General features: G+C 46.0%; 1 protein-coding gene across 23 annotated transcripts in view, besides 5 other annotated features; it reads right to left on the bottom strand.

The window, feature by feature from the left end:
• Positions 1–25817, bottom strand: part of SNX29 (sorting nexin 29) — a 597554-nt gene that overhangs the window by 422927 nt on the left and 148810 nt on the right. For 21 of the 23 annotated variants that reach the window (XR_001752024.3, NM_032167.5, XM_017023874.2 and 18 more), the window contains 2 exons: positions 24665–24728; positions 21603–21731 (listed from right to left, as the gene is read on the bottom strand). Coding sequence is in view for 22 of the 23 variants with exons in the window: in NM_032167.5 (NP_115543.3) it covers positions 21603–21731; positions 24665–24728 (193 nt within the window). In the remaining variant the exon portion in view is untranslated. Of the gene's footprint in view, positions 1–15623; positions 15811–21602; positions 21732–24664; positions 24729–25817 lie in introns of those variants that run through there. The other 2 variants (NM_001376490.1, XM_005255683.5) reach the window with 1 other exon arrangement.
• Positions 2819–3376: an enhancer, noted in NCBI's record as "OCT4-NANOG-H3K27ac hESC enhancer chr16:12241842-12242399 (GRCh37/hg19 assembly coordinates)". NCBI's record gives its function as "activates a minimal SCP1, AML or CMV promoter by ChIP-STARR-seq in primed H9 embryonic stem cells {active_cell/tissue: H9 hESC(primed)}" and the evidence as "EXISTENCE:reporter gene assay evidence [ECO:0000049][PMID:30033119]".
• Positions 2935–3229: an enhancer, noted in NCBI's record as "tiled region #497; HepG2 Activating non-DNase unmatched - State 23:Low". NCBI's record gives its function as "activates a minimal TATA promoter and a strong SV40 promoter by Sharpr-MPRA in HepG2 cells {active_cell/tissue: HepG2}" and the evidence as "EXISTENCE:reporter gene assay evidence [ECO:0000049][PMID:27701403]".
• Positions 8092–8592: an enhancer, noted in NCBI's record as "H3K4me1 hESC enhancer chr16:12236626-12237126 (GRCh37/hg19 assembly coordinates)". NCBI's record gives its function as "activates a minimal SCP1, AML or CMV promoter by ChIP-STARR-seq in primed H9 embryonic stem cells {active_cell/tissue: H9 hESC(primed)}" and the evidence as "EXISTENCE:reporter gene assay evidence [ECO:0000049][PMID:30033119]".
• Positions 8092–8629: a biological region, named in NCBI's record as "Sharpr-MPRA regulatory region 3169".
• Positions 8335–8629: an enhancer, noted in NCBI's record as "tiled region #3169; HepG2 Activating DNase matched - State 8:EnhW". NCBI's record gives its function as "activates a minimal TATA promoter and a strong SV40 promoter by Sharpr-MPRA in HepG2 cells {active_cell/tissue: HepG2}" and the evidence as "EXISTENCE:reporter gene assay evidence [ECO:0000049][PMID:27701403]".

The following is a 25817-nucleotide window of genomic DNA, read 5'->3' as shown; positions in this document are numbered from 1 at the left end:
AGGAACTTTGAACTTAGATATTAAGAGACTGTTGCTAATTTTATTGTGTAATAGTGTGTGTGTGGTGATAATTTTTTTGTCTTACTGTAAGAGATTCATATATAAGCAAGTATTTATAGCTGATGTAACATCTAGGACTTGCTGTAAGTTGTTAAGCAAAAAACAAAGCAGAGAGTGTAACAGGCTCAGCAAAGCAAGAGTAATAACAAGTGAGTAACTGCGAAGACTGGGGGATGGGTACACAGGGGCTGTTACACTATTCCATCTATTTTTGTTCATGTTTGAAAAATTCCATAATTTAAAAATTTTTAAATAAAAAGCAGAAACAAACATATTAACATTTTGACTCTGTGGCCATACAGCAGACAGGGGAAAGGTATCTTTGCTGGGAAGGTCCTCTGAAAGCCAAGGTCACATCCCCAGTAACCATGAACTTTGGAGGAAAACAGGGGTCCTATCCGGCCTCATACCCTCCTCCATCTGAGCGCTTCTGTCTGTTAAATGACCGTATCTCTTGCCTGGCTGAGCAATTTCCAATTCAGATAAAAGAGCAAAAACAAATTAGCCCCAATCTGCACAAATGAACCCAAACCACAGGCTGTGACCTTGCTGGTGACCCAAAGACAACTTCCTCCTCACGGACTTGGGGCCTCCCGATACTGTGACCGTGGCAATTACAAAGGGATGCAGCTCACGCACACTATCTCAAGATGTGATCACTGGACAAAAATTAGCTCATTAGACGCTGTTCCTGGTCACAATTACCTGCCACAGGGCTCAGGTTGTTAAAGCTGTGATGCAGACTCACTCTTCAAAAGGTCTGCTCCTCAATGACTCAGGTTAACAAAGGCGGCACAATCTCACTGAAGACGCCAGTGCTGGTGAAGGCCTGGGTTAGGTCTGGCCTCGTACCTTGAGGAGCTAGGCAAATAATTCATTCACATCTTGTTTATCCATCCTTAACCCCTGGTAGCAAAGTCTACCGGGAAGACAGACTCTAATCCAAGAACCAAACAACTGGAATCATACTTATCATGGTTGATCTACCCAGTCTCTCTCTCTAGAAGCATTCACCCTGCTTTGGATCTGACCATCATCATCTCTCGCCTGAATAGCTCAAAGAACTTCCAGCCCCTCCGACCCTGGCCTCCTCCTATCCACTTCTCCACAATGCCCAGGAGGGGATTATGGCTCTGTCCCTCGAACAGATCTGATCAATTACTCCCCCTCCTTAAAGGCCTTCAATAGTTGCCCACTATCCACAGAACCGAGGCCAAACTCCTCATTGGGACCTTGGGAATCTGTTCCCAGGCCACCCTTGCAGAAACCCCACCCTCAATCGTTCCCCAAACGTACTCTGGACTCCAGAATTCCAGGATACAGCCACAGGGAGCAACCTGAAGCTTCCTTGACACAGCATCTTCCTTCATGCCTCTCCCCCTTGGCACAAACTGTTCTAACTGGAGTGCACTCTGGGAACTTCCAGAAGGATGTCTCTGTGATCCTTGAGTCCTGAGCACCTAGAAACCATACTTGACTGAGGCTGGTAAAGATCATAGGATGATATAGAACTGCCTTCATTTATTAGCTTCCTGTGTCTCAGACAGCAGCCCCACACTTCTTTACCTGCATTATGTAATTCAATCCTCACCAATACCCATGAGGTAGGTTCTATTATTTTTCCCATTTTCATGATTTTTAAACACGGAGGCTCACAGAGGTACAGTAACTTGCCCAAGGTCACAATGCTAGCAAGTGCTTACTGCAGGGATTAGAGTCAAGGTCTTTGTGAATCAAAAGGTCATTTGTTAATCACTATAGGGACAATCTGATCTACTGACGACTACAGAACAGAGCATATACTCCCTCATGACCCCGGGTAACAAAACAAGTGAATTTTCCTCATGAGAGATTACTATGTACCAGGCACTAAGCACAGACCACTACTTGCCTTCTGTTTTATTTGGAGTGACAATGTGCTCCACTAAAAAACAGAAATCACATTTCTCAGCATCCCTAGCAGAGTAAGTTCAGGCCAGTGAGAAGTAAGAGAAAGTGTTTGAGTGACTTGCGGTAACCTCTGTACGAGAAGTTGGCACACACTTTCTCCCCTTCTCCTGCTTTACCCTTCCTGCTGCCAAGAACACAGGTGTCAGGGCTGGGGCTCCAGCAGCCACTTTAGACCATGAAATGAAATCACCTTGGAAACATAAGCCAAACACAGCAGAACAACAACTTAGAAGTAACTGACAAATGCTCATTTATTCATTCAACAAACATCCACTGAGCTCTATTATGTGCCAGGCATTGTCCAGGCTCCTTGGAATAGATCTATCGGTGAACTAATGAGACGAAGGCAGGCCGGGCGTGGTGGCTCACACCTGTAATCCCAGCACTTTGGGAGGCTGAGGCAGGTGGATCACCTGAGGTCAGGAGTTCGAGACCAGCCTGACAAACATGGAGAAACCCTGTCTCTACTAAAAATACAAAAAAAAATTAGCTGAGCATGGTGCCACATGCCTGTAATCCCAGCTACTCAGGAGGTTGAGGCAGCAGAATCACTTGAACCCGGGAGGTGGAGGTTGCGGTGAGCCAAGATCGTGCCATTGTACTCCAGCCTGGGCAACAAGAGCGAGATGCCACCTCAGAAAAATAAAATAAAATAAAACAAGACAAAGGCTCCTGCCCTCATGAGGCTTAAAACTTAAGACCAAAAGGCAGTGATAAATCATGAATCTAAGAAGTGATGTATTAGAAAACAAGAAATGCTATGGAAATAAGAAAAAGTTAAGCAAAATAAGAGGGACTAATCATGCAGGGGAGGGGGAGATTGGACAAGAAAATCTGAGGTACAAATGAGTGAAAAACAAGAAAAACAAGATCTACTAAGATGTAGCTAACGTCAACTCCCTAACAAACTTGGGAAAGAGCCTTGCCAGATACAGAAAGAGAGGCAGAGACCATCTGTGGATTTAGTTCAGCCCTAACAGCTCCTTAGCTCACATTACCAGAAACAAGAGGGAATGTGCTCAAAGGCAAGCCTATCCCACGCTAGGTCGCCATTTTTAAGTGGCCTTTTCAACATGGATAACAAAGGGCATTTTGTAGCTCCATGGGTGGCATTCCAGGACCCCACCTCTCCACTTTAACCTGTGTGGCTCAGCTCTCAGGGAGCTCTCTCGGGTCTCAGAGAGCTTCCAAGTAAGAATGCATTTGAAGGAAAGTTCTTCTGCTTAAAATAAAACATTTTCATGATGGCTACTTGGTGGCTGGAGCTGAGCAGCAGCAGGTACGAGTCTCACACATCTTTGCTTCGGCTATGTTTGGCACCAGTACGAATTCAGCGAACTCTGGTTTGCTCAGTCACTAGCCTTGACAGTTGTCTCTCTTTAAACTGCATCGCTGCTGCTGCTGCCAAGAATATCTCCCCTCTGCCCAGCTTCCTGTTGTTCCCCTCCCAGGCTCCAAAATAAAAAGAAGTTGCTTGGCAGTGATGTCACATTGCCACTGTCACCGCCTGCAGGGCATTCACATCCTGGCTATATTTAAGACCCAGGCTTCATGTTCAGTGACATGGAAATTGCCACCTTGTGAACCGTACCGGAAAGGCAAGATTTGAAAAATTATTTCTACGAATAATCAGGCTGCAAATTCTGCCTCTCCGGAGGCAAAGAGGGAAAGTCAAGGGGGTTAAACTGAGCCACGGGCTGCGGCTCCTTGGATCGGCTACATCCAGCTGTTTCATTCCAACCATTTCTCGGAAGTAACTCAAACACCAGCATTTACTTAGTGGCCACACCTCTCTTCCCATTGTTCACCTTTCCTGGGCTCTTTTGGTATCCCTCAAAACCATTCTGCTATTTTTCTTTCTCTCTAGACACCTCTACCTACTTCTCATTAGAAAAGACAAGAAATGAAGCATTAATGAATGGGAAAAGCATTTCCCTCCCCGGTGAATAATTACCGTAACCTTTTCATAAGAGTTCTGTCATATTTATGGGTTTTGGTAATTTTTTTTTATTTCCTCCTGCTTCTGTCCTTTGATGGGGGAAAGCGATGGGCTGGAGCAACATTTCAGACACAACCTTCTCCCTTTTCCCTTAACAGCTGCATGTTTTTCACATCTTGATGAACTGCCCAAGTCTGTGTTTGGTGCAGATTTTTCAGGGAACATCTGGCATTGGGTACTAATGACTCTGACGCTCAACCATTCAACGCGGGCACGCGCTTCAAAACACAGATGTTCATGCAAATATACCTTGCTGCTTGCTCCCTAAAAAGTTGAGTTCGTCAACAAAACCTGAGTCTTTGATTGGATTCTAGAAGCATTAGAGAAAATAAACAAGCACATGGCTTTCTCCCTTGTACGTGATTGCTCTGAGATGCCACCAAGCTTCTGTTCCTCTCCCATTATGCTGTCTCTACCATTTTATATTTTAAAAAACTATCTAGGAAACCTATACTGGTTACAAAATTCTGAAAGGCTCATGAAGAAATTTATATGGCTTTCCACTGTTGGTCATGTTTGAGAAGGTGCTCCCATTATTTTAAATTTCAACATTAAAGCATTTGGCATTTCCATTCTCCCACCTTTGGGAGTCCCACATCATTAATCCCAAAAGAAAAACGAGCTGAGAAATCATTCATGCCAAGGATACCTTCACCTTCCACAGCCACAGATGCAGGAGCCAAGCAGTGATGAATGGTAGTAGAACTAGCTCCATTTCTGATGAGCAGGCCCTCCCACCTCAGCCTGCCGCCAAGAACTTGGGCCATGAAAACATTCATATCTCTTGGCTGGGTGCAGTGGCTCACACCTGTAATCTCAGCACTTTGGGAGGCCAAGGCGGGTGGATCACTTGAGGTCAAGAGTTCGAGACCAGCCTGGCCAACATGGCAAAACCCCATCTCTATTAAAAATACAAAAATTAGCTGGGCATGATGGTGCGTGCCTATAATCCCAGCTACTCGGGAGGCTGAGGCAGGAGAATCACTTGAACCTGGAAGGTGGGGGTTGCAGTGAGCTGAGATTGTGCCACTGCACTCTAGCCTGGGCAAGAGGGAAACACTCTGCCTTCAAAAAGAAAAAAAAAAAAAATCATATACTTTGCCCTGAGATCCCACTTGGGGAAATACACATTAAGGAAAGAAACGGACAGAGAAATACACACAGATACTGAGATAGTCACTGCAGCCTTTATCTATAAGCTCACACTGGAAGCAGCTGCAATGCAAATCGAGGTGGAAACCACCAAGTACCCTAAGGAATGCTACACAGCCGTTACAAATCACAGCTGGTCAGGCTCTCTCACTCACCGCTGTAGGGGTAAAAGAGAGGCCGCTTTCTTGGAAAGGATTTTAGTAACACAAGATCAAGAGCCTTTACAAACATGCTTACCTTCTAACATGGGAATTTCACTTTTTGGAATCTAGCTGAAGGAAATGATTTTTAAAAGGCGGAATAGGTTTATAAAAATACAAGTTCATAGAAATACTAATCCTACAAGGGAAAAAAATGGTTAAGAAAAATGATGTGAGAAACAAGGACATATCCAAACACAGAACTCCACAAAGCCATCAAGTGACATCCATGGAACTGAATAACATGAGACAATGTCTGTTGTTTACTGTATTATTGTAATAAAAAACTTTTCAAAGTAGACCCTCAATTTATAGATTCAGAATGACCTGAATTATATAAAATACATATATGCATAAAAATAAACTGGAATAAAATGCCCCATAAATAATAAATTCATTGATGGTAATTGTGTTCAGGTGATTTTCCTCTTTAAACTTTTCTGGTATTCCCGGACTTAAGAATTCTAACTTGCAAATTACTTTCATATGCAGGGGGGAAAAATACCCTAACTTAAGGGAAAAACCTTAAGGATTCGAACGTACACATTACATTTATGAACAGGGAAAAAAAATCTTGTATTTAAACATAATTTGAAATCTACATAGCAACAGAATAAAATAAACAGAATGTAAATTGCATGTACACAACAAACAGTGGTGTAACTATGTAAAAATATACTTAAGTGGACTAAGAATGGAAATAATTATCACGCTACAGTCATGGGATTTGGGACTCTTTTCCCCATTTTGAGTTGTTATGCTGCTTTCACAATTTAAAGGTAATTTTTTTTTTTTTTTAAGTATGAAAACAAGAGTTCCCTCAAGAAATCTCAGGTATGGCAGAATTCCATGGTAGAATCCCACTTGTGTATATCTTAATCTGAAACCATTCAGCTTTACATTGGGTGAGCAAACCAAGTTGCAGAACAGTGGGCGCACGTTGAAAGCTCAGAGGCAGATCCTTAAAAACCCACAAAGAGGCCGGGCGCAGCGGCTCACGCCTGTAATCCCAGCACTTTGGGAGGCCGAGGCGGGCGGATCACGAGGTCAGGAGATAGAGACCATCCTGGCTAACCCGGTGAAACCCCGTCTCTACTAAAAATACAAAAACTTTGCCGGGTGTGGTGGCAGGCGCCTGTAGTCCCAGCTACTGGGGAGGCTGAGGCAGGAGAATGGTGTGAATCCGGGAGGAGGAGCTTCCAGCGAGCAGAGATCGCGCCATTGCAGTCCAGCCTGGGTAACACAGCGAGACTCCGTCTCAAAAAAATAAATACCCACAAAGCAAGCCGTCTCAGTCTGTTTTGTGCTGCTATAACCGAATACCTGAGGCTGGGTAATTTATAATGAACAGAAATTTCTTTTCTCACAGTTCTGGAAGCTGGGAAGTCCACGATCAAGGGGCTGGCGTCTGGCGAGGACCTTTGCTGCGTCATCATAGGTCAGAAGGCAGTAACGGAAAAAGGAGCCCAGCTAGCCCTTTTATAACAGCATGAATCGCACCTCCCCTCCATGGGGGGTGGAGCGCTCATGGTCTAATCACCTCTCAGGTGGTACCACCTTTTTATACTGTTGCTTGGTAATTAAGTTTCAACATGAGTTTTAGAGGGACAACCTTCTAACCATAGCACAAACCTACATGTTGTTTATGGTTTACTTAAAAATAAAATCTAAAACAAAAATGACAAATGTTAGTAGTGCTAATTGTTGCAGTGGGTCATACTATTCTTTATATTTTTCAAACCAGCCAAGCAACAAAAAATTAGCTCCCAACTTGGTTCTGAGCTAAAAATCAGCCTTTCTAAGGTTTTCAATGAGCTTATCCGTTCAGATCATTGCTGGCATCCTCTCTTAAGTCCTTGCTACTTAAAATGTGTGGTCTAGGAACCAGCAGCATCAGTGTCACCTGGGAGCTTATTAGAACTCCAGGATAGCAGGCCCCACTCCAGACCTGCTCAATGAGAATTTAATCTCTAACCTGAGCCCCGGGTGTTTCGTGGGTACATTAAGGTTTGAGAAACTCTGCTCTAAGCCACCAGTTGTCAACCTTGACTGCACACTGGAATTACCTGAGAGTCTGGGCCTCAGCTCCAGAGATTCTGATTTAATTGGTCTGGAGGGCAGCCTGGACATAACCATTTTAAAAGCTCCCCAGGTGACTATGATGTTCAGCAAAGTTTAAGCAACATATTTCGCTCTTCAACCCAGAGAATTCTTTATTAGGAAGCTAGTTACATCTGAGCAACAGCAGGCTAGATTAACTGCAGAGAATGACTTTTTGCAGGCTTGAAATGGAGGCATAATTTACTTCCATGAAACCAACAGTAATCACCATGGCTGTCTGTTACTCAGTACTTACGCAGGGTATTCAATGTGCTTAACCCTTGACATGCAATCTCTCTTCATCCTCTCTCTAAGGGAGGGTCTGTTACCACCGTGGTTTTCTAGATAGGGAGCCTGAGAGGTAAAATGGCCATCTCAGATCCCACATCTAGGAGCGGTGGAAGCCCTTGCATGACACTAAGGACGAGCACCGCCTTAAATTAAGCAGCGTAGGTGCCTCACTTGTCTCACCCTTGCCCTAACCCTGAGAAGCAGGACTCAAGTCCACACCTGCCCCATACGACACTTCCTGCTCAGAGTAGCCCCACGAAAATGGAACTCCTGGAGCTGTCAGACTGAAGGTTAAAATCTTTGCTTGTGGCCGGCCAGGCGCAGTGGCTCATGCCTGTAATCCCAGCACTTTGGGAGGCCGAGGTGGACGGATCACCTGAGGTCGGGAGTTCGAGACCAGCCTGACCAACATGGAGAAACCCACCTCTACTAAAAATATAAAAATTAGCCGGGCATGGTGGCGCATGCCTGTAATCCCAGGTACTCAGGAGGCTGAGGCAGGAGAATCGCTTGCACCCAGGAGGCAGAGGTTGCAATGAGCTGAGATCGCACCACTGGACTCCAGCCTGGGCAACAAGAGCGAAACTCTGCCTCAAAAAAAAAAAAAATTTTCTTTGCTTGCATATCCTTCCCTTCAATTTCTAGCACCCACAGGACAGAATCAGCTGTATTGTGTTTCTCTCTGATTGACTAAGCTTCACACGGAACAGTAAATGTTTGAAGAGTGAATCAACAAATAAACAATATCGGCCAGAAGCGGTGGCTCAGGTCTGTAATCCCAGCACTTTGGGAGGCCGAGGCAGTGGTCACCTGAGGTCAGGAGTTTGAGATCAGCCTGGTCAACATGAAACCCCGTCTCTACTAAAAATACAAAAAAATTAGCCAGGCGTGGTGGCAGGCGCCTGTAATCCCAGCTACTTGGGAGGCTGAGCAGGAGAATCGCTTGAACCCGGGAGGCAGAGGTTGCAGTGATCTGAGATCGCCCCACTGCACTCCAGCCTGGGCAACAAGAACAAAACTCCGTCTCAAAAACAAACAAACAAACAAACAATATCAATCGTTCATCTTGACTGAATTTCATCAGTAGCATCAAACTGCAGGAAAACAGCTCCTCCTAAGCCATATTCCCTCTTGACTGACATGTGTATCTTGTACTCACCCCCAGCCCCCAACACCAGCCCCACCCACCCCATGCACTCAACGCTCCTTGGCTGCTCTGGGGTACATCATGAGACCAGCCAGCTGCTGACAAGCATGTGCTTAACAATGGCGAAGGGCACAACTCACTCAGCTCAGGAGACTCAGCCAAGGGAAAAAGCCAGCGACCTTGGGGAAGCAAGCTTCATGCCCAAGGAGAGGCGAGAGGTGGGAGAGCCAGAGTGGGTCACATATGCAGCAGGTGCTCAACAGTGGGTTCAGTGTGGACTGGATCCAGTCTCTAGACAAGGACTCAAAAAGATCGGGGCAACTGAAAGGGACCTTGCACACAAAATTCCAATACATTTGTAAATGGTCTTGAAAAAGAGAACACTTGGGAAAGAGCTAAAGCAGAGATTCTCACTGGGGGCCGTGGGGACAGTCTGGGTCATCACGAGGATGATGAGTGCTATTGTTGGAGGTGTTTGAACCATAACAGCTCCATCTGGAATAGGAGCTGGTTAAAATGAGGCTGAGACCCACTGAGCTGCATTCCCAGGAAGTGAAGCATTCCTAGTCACAGGATGAGATGGGAGGTCAGGAGGACTGGTGTCATTAGATACAGGTCACAAAGACCATGACGATAAAACAGGATGCTGTAAGGAAGCCAGCCAAAACCCAGCAAAACCAAGATGGTGATAAAAGTGACCTCTGGTCGTCCTCACTGCTCATTATGTGCTAATTAGAATGCATAAGCATGCTAAGGACATTCCCACCAGCACCATGACAGTTTACAAATGCCACGGCAATGTCCGTAAGTTATCCTACATGGTCTAAAAGTGGGAGGAACCGTCACTTCCAGGAAATCCTGCCCCGAGCCTGGAAAACTCATGAATAATCTGCCTTTTGTTTAGCATATAATCAAGAAATAACCATAAGTACTCTAAGTCAGTTGGTCCATGCCGCTGCTCTGTCTGCGGAGTAGCCCTTCTTTTGCTTCTTTACTTTCTCTAATAAACTTGCCTTCACTTTAAGCACTTGCCCTGAATTCTTTCTTGCACAAGATCCAACAACCCTCTCTTGGGATCTGAATCAAGACCCCTTTCCATTAGCACTACCAGCATTTACAGCATAGAGCCGAGGATACTAACTGTCCTGAAAGGCCAAGGCAGTACCACACAACCAAGATCAGCCTACTTCCTGCAACACTTCAATCGTCCTGTGGCCATTCATGTAGGCGGAAACCTTACTCATAATCTGAGCCTAGAAAGGAATGCCTTTCATATATACTGACTATGCCAGGTTTACTTTACGGTTCACCCACTCTCTGCTCTTTTTCTGGACTCCTTCTAAAGAATGACTTCTGATCTTCTTAACTTCTTAAAATCAAAACTCATCCATGAGAAGGAGGTGCAAGCACTTAGCGTCAGCATGTTTTCTAGCACAGTTGCGCCAGACCAATATGTACTGAAATCTATTTTGTATTATAAATTCCTTTCATTTCTCTTTCATATTAGAGTGTTATACTGATTTTTTAAATTACTTGTATAAGTAGGTTATATTCGCTATAAATTTCATTTCAGAAGGGGGCATTACCAAATATTTTTATTTAAAACAGATATTGAGTCTTCTAAGATCAAGTCCAAATATGCCAAAGTAGCTGGACCAGCGGTTTGCTAATAATGTCAGATTATATCAGACCGAAATATCTAGCCAAGGAAAAGCACAATGGAGAACACAGCACAGAGACCTTCGGGCTACCGCTTAGAATGGCTGAGCCCAGATTTCACCCACCAAGACAGGGTGCGCAAGACAGCTGGCACAAGAGTGACAGCACGGTAGTGTCACTCTGGAAAATGGACAGAATCCAAGCGTCACAAGCCCTCTGTGGAAGCAACCCACTGTCAGGGACATCTGCAGGCTGCACCTCACCGCATGCACCCCCAATCTGATGGGAGGAACATCCTGGTTTTCCTTTTAAGCAAACTCTCCTCCATCCTTGTTCCTGCTCCACGGAGTTCAGGTGAGGGAAAGCCAGCCACCCCCAGCTCCAGGGGGAATGGGACCCAGGCTTGGGCAGGAAAAGTAACACAGCTGGCCCGGGAAATGAGAGAGTGAATCCCAAGACTTCTCCAGAGCTACTGGAAAAAAGTCTTCTCCTCCCACTGGCATTGTTAAACTGATGGGATTTAGGCTGGGGCCCCTGGGGGCCCTCTTGTCACCACAAGAGAAGAGTTACCTAAGAATGAAGCCAAGACCGAGGGAAAGAGAGAGGAGACATGGAAAGTCATGGGGACTGCATGATATGCGTGATACCCCCTGAGAGCTTTGATCCAGCCCAGCAAAAAGCTAGCTCTTCTCCTGTAGGTTTAAGTTTCATGAGCGAATCAACTGCTCTTTTTCTTAGGCAGTTTAGGGTGGGTTTCTGTCACCTACTACTGACTCTAAGTGGTAAGATTCCTTTTCCTTTTTTTTTTTTTTTTTTTTTTTTGAGACAGGGTATCTCTCTGTCTCCCAGGCTGGAGTACAGTGGTACAATCTCAGCTCACTGCAGCCTTGACCTCCTGGGCTCAGGTGATTCTCCCACCTCAGCCTCCTGAGTAGCTGGGACCACAGGCATGCACCACCACGCACCGCTAATTTTTGTAATTTTTGTGTAGACAGGGTCTCACCGTGTTGCCCAGGCTGGTCTCCTGGGCTCAAGCTATCTGCCCACCTTGGCCTCCCAAAGGACTGGGATTATAGGCGTGAGCCACTGCACCTGGCCTCTATATGGTAAGATTTCAATGAATGGCTGAGGGGCTTCCAGAAAGCCCCAATTCCCAGAAAATGACTAAAAATACATCTTGGGGCAAACGACCATCCACAGGTCTAAAGCCCAGCCTAACTGGCTGCTTTGTGCCAAGAGAAGATGCCAACAGGAGGAGAACAATTAAGGTGCTGGAAGAATTGACATTTCTCAGTGACACTCATACCAAGTGACAGTCACTGGCCCCACGGTCCCTTCAATCCCTCATTTAGCCAATATGACTGAGCAATGCCAGGCACTGTGCTAGGTGCAAGGACGGGCCACTGCCCTCATGGATCGCACAGTCTAAAAGGGAAGACAGGCAGTGCGTGGATGACAACCCGGACTGTGACTGTCAGTAATAACGCTATTCAGGAATACCTACTCCCATGAAGCGTATCTCAGAGGGACCTGATCGGTCTCACGATCAGGCAGGAGATGCTGCACAAAGCCTTCCTCCCTTTTTTTTTTTTTTTTTTTTTTTTTTTTTAGAGTCTCGCTCTATCGCCCAGGCTCTGGAGTACAGTGGCCGATCTCAGCTCACCGCAGCCTCTGCCTCCTGGGCCCAAGTGATTCTCTTATTCTTCTGGAGTAGCTGGGATTACAGGTACACACCACAACACCCAGCTAATTTTTGTATTTTTGGTAGAGACAAGGTTTCACCAGGTTGTCCAGGCTGGCCTCTAACTCCTGACCTCAGTGATCCACCTACCTCGGCCTCCCAAAGTGTTGGGATTACAGGCGTGAGCCACCGTGCCTGACCAACAAAGCCTTCTGTATTCCTGTAGTCAGAAACAGAAAGCCCCACTCAAACTCTCTTGAACAAAAAAAGTTTACTCACCTACATACCTAGAAAGTCAAGAGGCAGCTCTGGTGCCTTTTGCCAGCAGCCTAGTGATAATACCATGTCCACTACAGCAACTCTTCTTCTAGTGAAAGAACCCCTCTCTTCCTCCCCTCCTCTCATCCATAAACACAGGCTTCCTAAATCAGGTAACAAAGCAAATGTTAATTTTTGAAAGACATGTAACAAAAACTGGGTCTTATTTCTGGTCTCTACTAAGCCTAAGAGCAAAGTTTTGTTTTATTTTACATTATGAATTTAAGATATTCCTCCAAAGCATGTTTCTTTTACCAAACAGAATATAATAATGTGGGCTTCATAAAACAGTGACAGGTTGGGCATGGTGGCTCACGCCTATAAGCCCAGCACTTTAGGAGGCCAAGGCAGGCAGATTACTTGAGGTCAGGAGTTCGAGACCAGCCTAGACAACATGGTGAAACCCCATCTCTACTAAAAATATACAAATGAGCTGGGCATGGTGGCACATGCCTGTAGTCCCAGCTCCTCAGGAGGCTGAGGCAGGAGAATTGCTTGAACCTGGGAAGCGGAGGTTGCAGTGAGCCGAGATCGCACCACTGCACTCCAGCCTGGGAGACAGAGTGAGACTCCACCTCAAAAAAAAAAAAAAAAAAAGAGTGACAAATTCTTTTTTTTTCAGTCTCGTGTACAATGCTGCCATCTTGGCCTGGGGACCTCATCTCAAGCAGTTTCCAAGACTCCAGAAGTGCTAGCATATGGATGGCAAATTCTTGGCAGGCTTGCTACCACATCCCCTTCCCATGGGCATGGCAGACATTGCTAATCAATAACAACACTCTTTTCTGTTGAGTCCTGACAGCACTCCAGTCCTTCTCAGCCAGAATCCCAGGCAGCGACTACCAGAGTTGGCAGCAGGATGAAGCCTACTGGCTTTTCCCGCCAGAGCAGGTGTTCTGAACTGGGGAGATAGCAATGAAACGGCCCACACCCTTGATTCCAAAGGCCATCCCTAGCCCAAGCTGGGCTGGAATTCAAGCCAGTATTCCCCATAATTCAAATCAGTATGCCTGACCTTCTCAATTCCCACCATTTGACTCTTGTGATAAAAATATAATCAGTGCCTTTGAATGGACACTGAAGAAATGTACTGTCCTTTTTTACAAAGGACATAGTCTTCATATTTCTCCAATGATTTAAAAGCAAAGGAAGGCAGAGGCTGACCCTCAGGGTGGAGTGTGAGATTTAAAGCCTTCATAGAAAGCCAATAAAGGTCGCCTGGGGTGCAGGACAGCATGATCTGAGCAGGGCTCCCAAGGCCATTCCAGGATGTACAGTACAGTTCTCAATCTCACATGCACAACACTGTCAAGGAAGTTCTCACTGCTCAGCAGCCCAGCAGGGACAAATAAACAAAGGGACACACACTGGGCAGGCAGGGCTGGAAAAATAACACCAGGAGGAGCTGAAGGTCAAGTGAAGGCCAGGGGCCAAGGGCTCTAAGATGCTCACTGCAGGGGAGGCTTGGACAAGGAAAGGGCCCAAGAGATTCTGGCCTCGCCTCAGCATCCCCAGCCACCTACAGCCAAGACACCAGCCAAGAAGAAGAAATTAGGTGACATTCACTGAGCGCTTACTGAGGGCCTGGAGCTATGCTGAGTGCTTAGGAGCCTCAGCTGATGTAACCGTCCCAACAATCCTAGGAAAAAATGCAAGAGACATGCTTTTGCTGCCCGCTGCTTGCCTTGGGGACCTGGTAAGACTGTCAATCATGGCCCTCTGCTGACTCTTAGCCATAACATGCCCGCTAAAAAGTCTTTCCTAGGCTGGGCACCGTGGCTCACGCCTGTAATACCAGCACTTTGGGAGGCTGAAGCAGGTGGATCATTTGAGGTCAGGAATTCAATAGCAGCCTGGCCAACATGGTGAAACCCCATCTCTACTAAAAATATAAAAATTAGCCAGGCGTGATGGCGGGCACCTGTAATCCCAGCTACTCAGGAGACTGAAGCAGGAGAATTGCTTGAACCCAGGAGGTGGAGGTTGCAGTGAGCTGAGATCACACCACTGCACTCTAGCCTGGGTGACAGAGCGAGACTCTGTCTCAAAACAACAACAACAATAACAACAAAAACCTTTCCTAAAATGTTATATACAGACATTAGGAAAGAGTCTCTTCCCTTTGGATCCTGTGCGAGTCTCAGTGCTACCAGAGGCCATCTTTGCTCTATGCAGAGGGCCTTCCTAAGCATGACACCAGTGCGCAGAGGGCGGCGCCAAGGGAAGATGGAGAGTGCACTGGTGTCATTGGGGGACCTGGGTCCCACAGTGCTTGAAGAAAGTGACCTGTCCTTGGATTTCCCAGCTACTGCAAGAAAAAAATCCCCTGGTGACCCAAGCTAATTTGGTGTGGGTTTCTGCCATCAAAGGCATGTTAGCATCAGTGGGGAAACTGAGAATTAAGAAGTTACCAAGTGGCAGAGCCAAGACCAGAATCACTGTGCTGTGCTGCTTCCCTAGGTAAGGGTCGGACACGGCCCTCCAAAGCCAGCAGTGACCGTGACGCATCAACAGGGTGCTTTATGCCACTGCACGGGAGGAAGGAGGGAGAGTGTTCCATGCCACCCCAGCCCCACTTTAAGTTTCTAAATAGTTAAAGAACCAGAGAGGCTCAGAAGCATGAAGAGAATGGCCCCGGCCATACCACTGACAACATGTTCATGTGAGTGCAGCAGAACTGCACAGAAGGAGGGAAAAGTCACAACAGGAGAGTAACCGCAAGGCTGGCCCCAGTGAGACACAAGAAGCGAAGTCTGCAGCGGCACTCTGAGTCACGACAGAAGAGTAACTGCGAGGCCGGTCCCAGTGACATACACGAAGGGAAGTCTGGAGCGGTGCTCTGAGAAGCAGTCCAAGGGGCTCCCCCCGAGGAACACTTTCTCCACCACCTTGGTGACTCTCAACCAACCAGAAGCCCCTTCCTGGACCTGGCAGGTTGATTGTTGAGATGACATGTCTACTTAGGTGCAGAGAAAATACACGTGCTCCAATCTCTAATAACCAAACAAGAGGCCTCTTCAGTCAGGACTCTTATGAGTATAATGGAGAAAAACCACCACAAATGGCTCAAGGAATGAAAGCAATTTATTGGCTCACATACATGAAAAGTCCAGAGGAAACACAGCTTCAGGAAAGACTGGATCCAGGAGCTCAAATGAGACTATCAGGAACTGTTGATTTCTCTCTCCCTCCATTTCTCCACCACATGGTTCTCACGTGGGGTTAGAATCTCCTCACAAAATAGCAAAGATAGCTGCCAACAAAATAGCAAAGAGAACTGGCTGGCACCATCCTCTCAAGAATGCAGTAACTGGCTCTTATCAGACCATCCTGGTCACATGCCCTCCTGTAAAGCCCTCATGGATGGAGCAACCCAACTGTCCAGGCCTGGGTGGGCTGCCATCCTCTGGAGCCCTGTAGGGGCAGAGGGCAGGGACAGCCCCATCAAACCACATGGACACAAAGGAAGGAGCAAAGATCCACCAAGGAAAATTGGGGGAGTGTGATGGTTAATTTTGCATATCCATGTGTGTGGGCCACCGGATGCCCAGATAGCTAGATCAACACAATTTCTCAGTGTGCCTGTGATGATGTTTCTGGAAGAGATTAGCATGTGAATTTGTGGACTGAGTGAAACAAATGGCCCTCACCAATGTGGGCAAGCATCATCCATTCCAAGCAGGGCCTGAGTAGAAGAAAAAGAAGGTGAGTTCTCTCCCTGCCTATGCTTGAGCTGGGACATGGCTCTTCCCCTGCCCTCGGCACTCCTGGCTCTCATGCCTTCAGACTCAGACTGGAACCTACACCACAGGTTCTCTGGCTCTTGGGCCTTTGAACTACACCATGAGCTTTTCTGGCTCTCCAGCCTGCAGAGGGCAGCTTGTGAGACTTCTTGGCCCCCATAATTATATGAGCCAATACCTTACGATAAACCCCTTTCTAGAGATATACATACATCCTATTGGTCTGTTTCTCTGGATGACCCTAACATTAATACAAGTAGTATCTGCCCCAGGAGGAAGCAGATACCTGATGAGTGTAGCAGGCAGCCTTCAAGGTGGCCTCAGTGACCCCTGCCTCCTGCTAGTCACACCACTGTGTGTTTCCCTCAACACTGAACCAAGGTTGACTGTGACTACAGAATATAGCAGAAGCAATCATGTGTCACCTCCAAGGCCAAGTTGTTAAAAACATGGTGGCTTCCATCTTGGGTGCGCTCTCTTCTCCTGCTCCTGGGTTACGCACCCTGGGAAGTCAGCTACTGTGTTGGGAGCAGCCCCACGGAGAGGCCCACGTGGCAACGAGCTGAAGCCTCCTGCCAACAGCCACAGGATGAAGCTTGCAAGTGGACCCTCCATCCCCAGTCAAGCCTTCAGATGACAGCAACTCTGGCCAACAGCTTGACTGCAACCTCATGAGAGACCCTGATGCCCTGGCTAAGCCATCCTCAGAGTCCTAATTCACAGAAATTGTGGGGAATCATAAATATTTGTTGTTCTCAGCAACCAAGTTTGAGGATAATTTGTTACACAGCAAGAGCTAACACTGCCATAATACGATGACAAGAATTGGAAAATGACCCCCCACAATAATTCAAGAACCCATTTACTTGCTTCCTTCAAAGCCACTTTTCCTCCTGTAAATGTGTGTCTTTTTTAACATATGTCTCATAGCTTGAGCTTTCTTAATTCAAAAGGAAACAAGGCAATCGATTATTTCAAGGAATGTGACTTACAGAGCCTTAATTGCAAATGATTATTATGCCTCTGCCTCAGGAACTCGCAGCTGCCCAGGGCCAAAAAGCACCAGGCTAGTTACATGACCTTGTTCTAGGAAAGCCAGTAATTCTTAGCAAAAGGAATGTGTAATCAAATGCTGGGTTTGCTCAGTGATGCTCAGTTTTACAACCATGAACTCAGAGCCAGTGAAACACACATATACACAAGCGCATACTTAGCATTCGAATATCTCACTTTTCTGAGTAGGAGATAGACTAGCTCCTAATTCTTTCTGCACTATCGCTGTTAAAATAGAACTTTTGATGAAGTAAGGTGCCATAATTATTATATTTAAGAAAAACGATAATGATAGTTAACATTTACTGAGTATTTATCAAGCACATTGAGCCAATACATGGTCTCTCGTTTTATTTATTCAACAAAACTCTATGAGGTAAAGAGTTTACTTATTACCATTTTAAAACTAAGGAAACATGCCAAGAGCAGTGGCTCATGCCTGTAATCCTAGCACTTCAGGAGGCCTAGGTGGGTAGATCACTTGAGCCCAGGAGTTTGAAACCAGCCTGGGCAACATGGCAAAACCCCGTCTGTACAAAAAGATACAAAAATTAGCTGGCTATGGTGGTGCATGCCTGTAGTCCCAGCTACTCAGAGGCTGAAGTGGGAGAATTGCTTGAGCCCAGGAGGCGGAGGATGCAGTGAGCTGAGATCGCATCACTGCACTCCAGCCTGGGTGACAGAGTGAGATACTATCTTAAAAAAAAAAAAAAAAAAAAAAAAAAACCCACACTAAGGAAACAGAAACAGAGAAGTTAAGTAATTCATCCAAGGTCACACAACTAGTAAGCAGGAGAGCCATGGTCTGACCCCGTCAGTACAAGGCAGGCACCTGGACCATAAAGCCCTAGCTGTATCCACCTGCACTGTGAAACCTGCACCTAAACACACACACACCTGAGGAAAGCATGGCGCCGGCGCAATGAGCCTCACCTTCCAGCCTGCGACACTCCACTGCCCTGCCCTGTGCCCCAGCAGCTACGGCATCCCCACCCCCAGGCAACAACTGCCCGAGCAAGCCACTGTCAGCCAACACTGACAGTTGCTTTTACTCTGGCCAGAAGCAAGAAGAAAGTTCTGACCACTGGCAGAGGTTAACTCTATCTGGAACATGTCAGCAATGGAATTTTTCAAAACTTACATACCCAGCTGATCGGTTTCCCTGCTTCTAGTTTTTCCTTTTGAAATACTGGTCTGTTTTACAGATATCTGTTCCTTCTGCCTACAGACTGCAAACTTTCAGACACCTTAAACTCTTAGCAACCCACTGCTTAAATAGGGATTATAAAACTGCCTGGTTAGGACATTGATTTTATCTACCCCATCTATGGGATAAAATTTTCCCAACAATTGTCATGCACTAAAACACGCTTCCTGTGGAATACACTTAAGACGCCTCACTCATGTCCACTGCCATATGCACCCTCACATCTTTTCCTCCTCATTCAGCCCCTTCAGCTAGATGAGATCATCCTCTCCATCCCTGAGATGAGGAAGCACATATGTGCAGAAGTTGAGCAATTCACCCAGAAACACACAATTTGCAAGTAATGATGCAAAGACTCAAGACTACGCTGACTGCTAATACAAGCCATTAAATGACACGGAGGCCAGGCATGGTGGCTCACGCCTGTAATCCAAGCACTTTGGAAGGCTGAGGCAGGAGGATCACCTGAGGTCAGGAGCTCAAGACCAGCCTGGCCAACATAGTGAAACCCCATCTCTACTAAAAATATAAAAAATTAGCCGGGCATAGTGGCGGGCACCTGTAATACCAGCTACTTGGGAGGTTGAGGCCGGAGAATCACCTGAACCCGGGAGGCAGAGGTTGCAGTGAGCCGAGATCATGCCACTGCACTCCAGCCTGGGCACGACAGGGCAAGAATCCATCCAAAAAAAAAAAAAAGACAGGGCATATAATTCTGTCTCTCTTTGCTGACTAAGAACCAGAACCTCTAAAGACTTCAGACTTTATTGTGAACATTAAATGCAATTATGCGGCAAAACTCTAGCATGGCCAGGCAAAAGGGTGGTCCAGGTGAGAAAATGCCGAACTAGGCACATTTTACACTATTTATAACAGTCATTAAACTGTCTTTGATGCTCTTGAGCTATCATTTTAAAATGTGACGAAAGGGGAAAAGCTCAAAGATTGGAAATCCAACATAGGATCATAGCGCCAACATTCAATAAGACATACAAAACAATTACATTAGAGCCATTCACAGCATCTAACAGCACAGAGAGGTAAATGCTGCTGCTATAAACTGACTTAACTCTGGGCTCCCTTGCACATCCACAAGACGTGTTTATCTCGTGGTCTTATTTTAAAGTAGATTTACAGAACAAGCAATAAACTGCTTATCTTTCCTAAAATGAGGACAAACTGGAAACAACCTGAATGCTAAATTGACCATATTAAATTCATCATTCCAATCTGGAATGGGCAATTTAATATGGCGGGTTCACTCAATCAAATACCACATCCAGGTACATAAAAATGGTTAACATGAGGCCTATATGGAAACAATAAAAGCTGCTTTTGCACTCCTAAGCAGTGCTAGAAGGTAGACTAAACAATCACAGGCATAGATTACATGTATAGTTAAAGAAAAATGTTAGTATATGAACAAATTCAGTAAAGATGCATGTAAGTTGGGATCTGGGGTGGTTTACTTTGCAGCTTTCTTTAATAGTATATAAACAAAGTGACAGAAAAGGAAATAAAATGGCTTTTAAATAAAAGGAGGCTCAACCATACTCTTAATTAGAGAAATGGTAATGAAAAATTTTCTGCCAGCACCATTTCCACCCCTGGCATTATCAGAGACCCAGAAGTTGGATCCCATGGCTGTGAGAGCACAGCTGCGTCGCAGCAGGCCCTCTCCCACACTGCTGCAGAACATGCGGCTCACACCCGTGCCAGGCGAGTTGATGGTCCCTGTCCGACTTACAAATGCGCTGCACTTTGACCCAGCAATCCTACTTCCAGGAATATTTCCAAAATATATACTCATACAGGAAAAAAACAACCAATGCAAAGGTTGTTCACTGTGGCATTATTAGTAGCAGCAAAAGACTGGAAACCATCTCGGTGCCTCGCTGTCAGCAGGCTGGTTAAACGAATTCTGATGCAGTCAGACAAGGAAATGTCAGGAGCTCTTAAAAAGCAGAGGGCAGCCCCACGCAGACCAACGAGAGCAATCTCTGAGATGTCAAGTGAATGCTGCATAGGACAGGCTACCACTTCACATTAAGGAAGAAAGAGAGGAGGAGAAGGGAAAGAAAAGGAAAAAAAGTATATGCACACCTATCTGCTTGTGTGTACAGGGAATATCTCTGGGAACAGTAACAATGACCCCCTCTAGGGAGCAAACTGGGTGGCTGGGATAAGAGAAGGGGACTTGCACAGGTTCACCTTTTGTATTTTGAACCACGTGCATATATACTATTTACTCAATGAAATAAGTTAAATTAAAATACACACTTTTTTTGCTTTAGTCGCTATCTTTTTTTTTTTTTTTTTTTTTTTTGAGACGGAGTCTCGCTCTGTCGCCCAGGCTGGAGTGCAGTGGCGTGATCTCAGCTCACTGCAAGCTCCACCTCCCAGGTTCACGCCATTCTCCTGCCTCAGCCTCCCGCGTAGCTGGGACTACAGGCGTCCGTCACCACTCCCGGCTAATTTTTGTATTTTTAGTAGAGACGGGGTTTCACCGTGTTAGCCAGGATGGTCTCGATCTCCTGACCTCGTGATCCACCCACCTCGGCCTCCCAAAGTGTTGGGATTACAGGTGTCAGCCATCATGCCCGGCTTTTTTTTTTTTTTAACTAAAAAGTCCAGGTGAACGTGTGCTCAGGTTTTTTTTTGTTGTTGTTTGGTTGGTTGTTGTTTGTTTTTGTTTTTGAGACAGAGTCTTGCTCTGTCACCCAGGCTGGAATGCAGTGGTGTGATTTCGGCTCACTGCAACCTCTGCCTCCCGGGTTCAAGCAATTCTCCTGCCTCAGCCTCCCAAGTAGCTGGGACTACAGGCACCCGCCACCACACCCAGCTAATTTTTTGTATTTTTAGTAGAGACGGGGTTTCACTGTGTTAGCCAGGATGGTCTCGATCTCCTGACCTTATGATCCACCCGCCTTGGCCTCCCAAAGTGCTGGGATTACAGGCATGAGCCACCGTGCCCGGCCCAGTATGCTCAGGTTTTAATGAAGCCCCCACGTGCTTACCTCTCCATCCCTCACCCTCTCCTACCTGGCCAGCGCCTGGACCTTCATGCCCTGCCGCTCCTCCTGTTCAGCCACCTTCCTTTTCAAGGTGTCCACCTCTTGCCGGAGCGCGGCTGAGTGCTCCATCTCACCGTCGAGCAGGTTTCGCAGTGATCTGGGAAGAGAGGGACCCATCTGTTCAGAAGCTGTCAACCCAGACCCCACTGAGCCCAGGACACAGTTCCTAACATAAGTCAAGTCCTAAGCCATGCGTTTTCCACAAGGCTCTGCATAAACCATAATTCAAGTCTATCTCATGTGAACTGGAGATAGCAAACTCTAATTGATAGCCTTAGAGTAAGAATTAAGGGACAGTCATCTATGGCCTGGGCTCCATGTCCCTGATTGCCTGCGAGCAGGCCAGCCTTCTGACAGCTTAAATCAAGGGAAAACAATGAGGTGAGCAAATTCCAGCCAAGTCCCTTTACAGATACCCCACTCAAAGGTGTAGCACATTACAATGAGACCATTTTGTCACAGCTACACCAGGTCAGAGATTTAACCAAGGAAAGGATGCCAGGAGAGGCCAAAACAATAATCTGAGGCATAAAAATAGAATATATACTCAGATTATCTCATAAACGTCTAGTCTCATTTCCACCTGTGCCTATAAAACACACTATGAGCCTGTTTCATTGCCAACTTCAGGTGAAACAAGCATATATAAAAAATATCTTATATCACTAAAGCATCTGAGATAGCAGAGATAGCATTTTACATTCCCAAGTTTGTTAACCCTCCAACAGGGGGCTGGCAGCCAGCACAGGATTCACCTGTGTATTTGTCATCCCTGGTCTTAAATAAAGGAGAAGACAGCAGGTCTTCTAGAAACCATCACCAGTGACCGCCTAGGAGAGAGCCAACCATGGTGCTGCTAACCATTTACTTCATTCTACCTGGCTGTTTCTGGAAAACAATTACCAACCATGGTACATCTACATACTAAATCCAGAGGACACTTGCCACGTGACATCAGGATATAAGCAAAAACAAGGCCGGGCAGGGTGGCTCACGCCTGTAATCCAGCACTTAGGGAGGCCAAGGCGGGTGGATCACTTGAGGTCAGGAGTTTGAGACCAGCCTGGCCAACATGATGAAACCCTATCTCTACTAAAAATACAAAAATTACTCAGGTGTGGTAGTACACACCTGTAATGCCAGCTATTCGGGGGGCTGAGGCAGGAGAATTGCTTGAACCCGGGAGGCAGAGGTTGCAGTGAGCCGAGATCACACCACTGCACTCCAGCCTGGGAGAAAGAACAAGACTCCGTCTCAAAAAAAAAAAAAAAAAAGAATATAATCAAAAACATCTGACCCCCACCACACTCTGATCATTCACTGAAATCTCCAAGACTTGTGTTCCTTGAGAGCTTTGAGGAAATTCCCCTCTTGGGGCCTGGGGCTCCCTGACAAAAACATGGTATAATTTTTCTTTTCTTTCTGGGAAGTACAAAAAAGTAACAGACAGTGACTATTGTTCTTCACAAGGTAAGACAAAATCTATGGCTTCTTCCAAGATAACAGCCCCAGCTGGAGCATGGACAAAGAATCCCTCAATGGCGCAAGCCCTCTATTGAAAGTTTATTCTACTTGGAAAATGGTGCGGTCTAAAGATTCCTTTTGAAGACATCCTCTTTTGTTTTAGAAATCATGTTTGTTTGCTTTTATATGTTTCCAGAAAGGACAAGAGAGAAGCTTGTCAAGCAGGACCAAAAATGAGGTTTGAAGGAGAATCATGACTGTGTGTAAAAGAGCGTGTGAGTAAGAAAGGGTGACGTGAACACACACCCCCCTCTCCCCACGTCCCAGGGAGGCAGTTGAATCATGCTTGCAGAAGTTCAGGGGGTAACTGCAGGTAAGCCCTCTATGACCACCCCACAGTCAAGATAAGTCAGATGGGAGCCAGAATTTCATCTTGCCCTAAGTATCCCTGATTTGGGCAAACTTTAAGATAAGTGCTCAGATGCCTGCAACATGGTAGATAGACAGGCCTTTGATTAATGATGACTAACAGCTGCCTAGAGGCCAGGCACAGTGGCTCACGTCTATAATCTTAGCACTTTGGGAGGCCAAGGTGGGCAGATTACTGAAGCTCAGAAGTTCAAGACCAGCCTAGGCAACCTGTCAAAACCCCAACTCTACTAAAAATACCAAAATTAGCCGGGCATGGTGGCATGCGCCTGTAGTCTCAGCCACTCAGAAGGCTGACGCTGGAGGATCACTTGAGCCCGGGAGGTGGAGGTTGCAGTGAGCAGAGATCGCGCCACTGCATTCCAGCCTGGGTGACAGAGCCAGAACTATCTCAAAAAAAAAAAAAAAAGACTGCCTAGGCTAAGGAGGTGATAATTAAAGGGTATAGGACTTCTTTCGGGGGTGATGAAATGTTCTAAAATTGACTGTGTTGATGTTAACTCCTGTGAATATAGTAAAAACTACTGAATTACACACTTCATTTATTTTTTTATTTTATTTTATTTTTTTTTTTTGAGACAGAGGCTCGCTCTGTCACCCAGGCTGGAGTGCAATGGCGTAATCTCGGCTCACTGCAACCTCCGCCTCCCGGGTTCAAGCAATTCTCCTGCCTCAGCCTCCTGAGTAGCTGGGATTACAGGCACGCAGCACCACGCCCAGCTAATTTTTGTATTTTTAGTAGAGACGGGGTTTCACCAAGGCTGGTCTTGAACTCCTGACCTTGTGATCCACCTGCCTTGGCCATACACTTTAAATGAGTGAATTATAGTGTATGTGAATTAAATATCAATAAAGGCTGTTTTTTAAAAAAGAATTAATGATCACTCTACCAAATTCTTAGCTTGTTCTATGAAGGTGCCATTATCATAAGGTTCTCACTTCTTTCTTACATATCAGGCAAAAGAGAGATACCACAGTAAAGAGAGATACCACAGTGGCATATCCCTGACGATAAGAAATAGCCAGTCACAATTTTTGCCAAGAAAGCAAAATGTCCCTCATCTGTTATATTCTGTCTTCCCCAGAGGCAGAATGTCAAAGAAAGAGGCTATTCCTCAAGCCTGAAAATCACGGTACCTGTTCTCCTCCTCCAGCTCATCCTTCCTGTTCATCATGGCCACAGTGGCCTGGCGCAGTTCACCTAAGGGAAGAAAACAAAGTCAAGATTAATTGGCAGGTCTTGCCTGTTACAGCATGCCCTCACCTCTCTGGATTATATGCTATTAAGGATGACTTGTCTAGATAAGTTCCCTTTTCCCTTTCAAAAATAACTCCTATAACAGTCTAAGAGACTCGGCTGATCAGGGTCCTGGATTTTAGAGCACAGTCTCTGAAGTCAGGTCCCAGGTTCAAATCCTGCCTCTGCAGCTCGGGCAAGTTAGCAACCCCCTCTGAGCACCACCTCCCTTATCTATAAAATGAGATCTTAACAGTTACTATCTCCTAGAAGTGTTGTAAGAATTCAGTAAGACAATATGTAAGTGAGATGCTTAGGAATGGTGCCCAGCACAGAATAGCATTTAGCAAGTACTACTGATCAGTATCACTACAAGTCTTTGCAGAAATGCAACAGCAGAAGATAGGAAGATGGAGATAAGGTAGCCGTATGGTTCACAAGCCCAAGTGGGTTAAACTGGGCATATTTTCAAGAGTTAGGGGATTTACTGAGCTCCTGTATACCTCAACCTTGAGAAATAAAAAAGATTTTTTAAATGATCTATGCCCTAGAGCAGCAGACTAGATAGTAGAATTTTCTGAAGTGTGAAACAAGATCACCACCGGCAATATGGGAAATCAGCCCCAGACAGCGATGTGGCATTTGGAAGAGCAGGTATCTGGGTTCTGGGCCTTGCAGGCATGGGAGAAGGGGGTCCCCAGTGCTGCTACTCAGACCTCATAGCTGAAAATGTTATATTCCAGGAGGAAATTCTAGGAGGAAAAAACTGTTTCCCAGGAAGTTTGAGAGACAGCAATGCTTGCCTGGCAAGTACTGCCTCAAGTAGCCTTAAGAGATGTAGGCCGGGCACGGTGGCTCATGCTTGCAGTCCCAACACTGTGGGAGACCAAGGTAGGAGTTCATTTGAGCCCAGGAGTTCAGGACCAGCCTGGTCGACATAGTGAGACCTCATCTCAAAAAAAAAAAAAAAAAAAAAAAAAAAAAAAAAAAAGAGAGATCTCAGCCACAAGCCCCCCTTGCAGGAGCCCAAATCACTGCATAGCAACCACCTGT

This window comes from Homo sapiens, chromosome 16 (assembly GCF_000001405.40).
Source record: "Homo sapiens chromosome 16, GRCh38.p14 Primary Assembly".
Taxonomy (NCBI): domain Eukaryota; kingdom Metazoa; phylum Chordata; class Mammalia; order Primates; family Hominidae; genus Homo; species Homo sapiens.
Note: the sequence above shows the minus strand (reverse complement) of the source record. Positions and strands in the feature narration are given on the sequence as shown.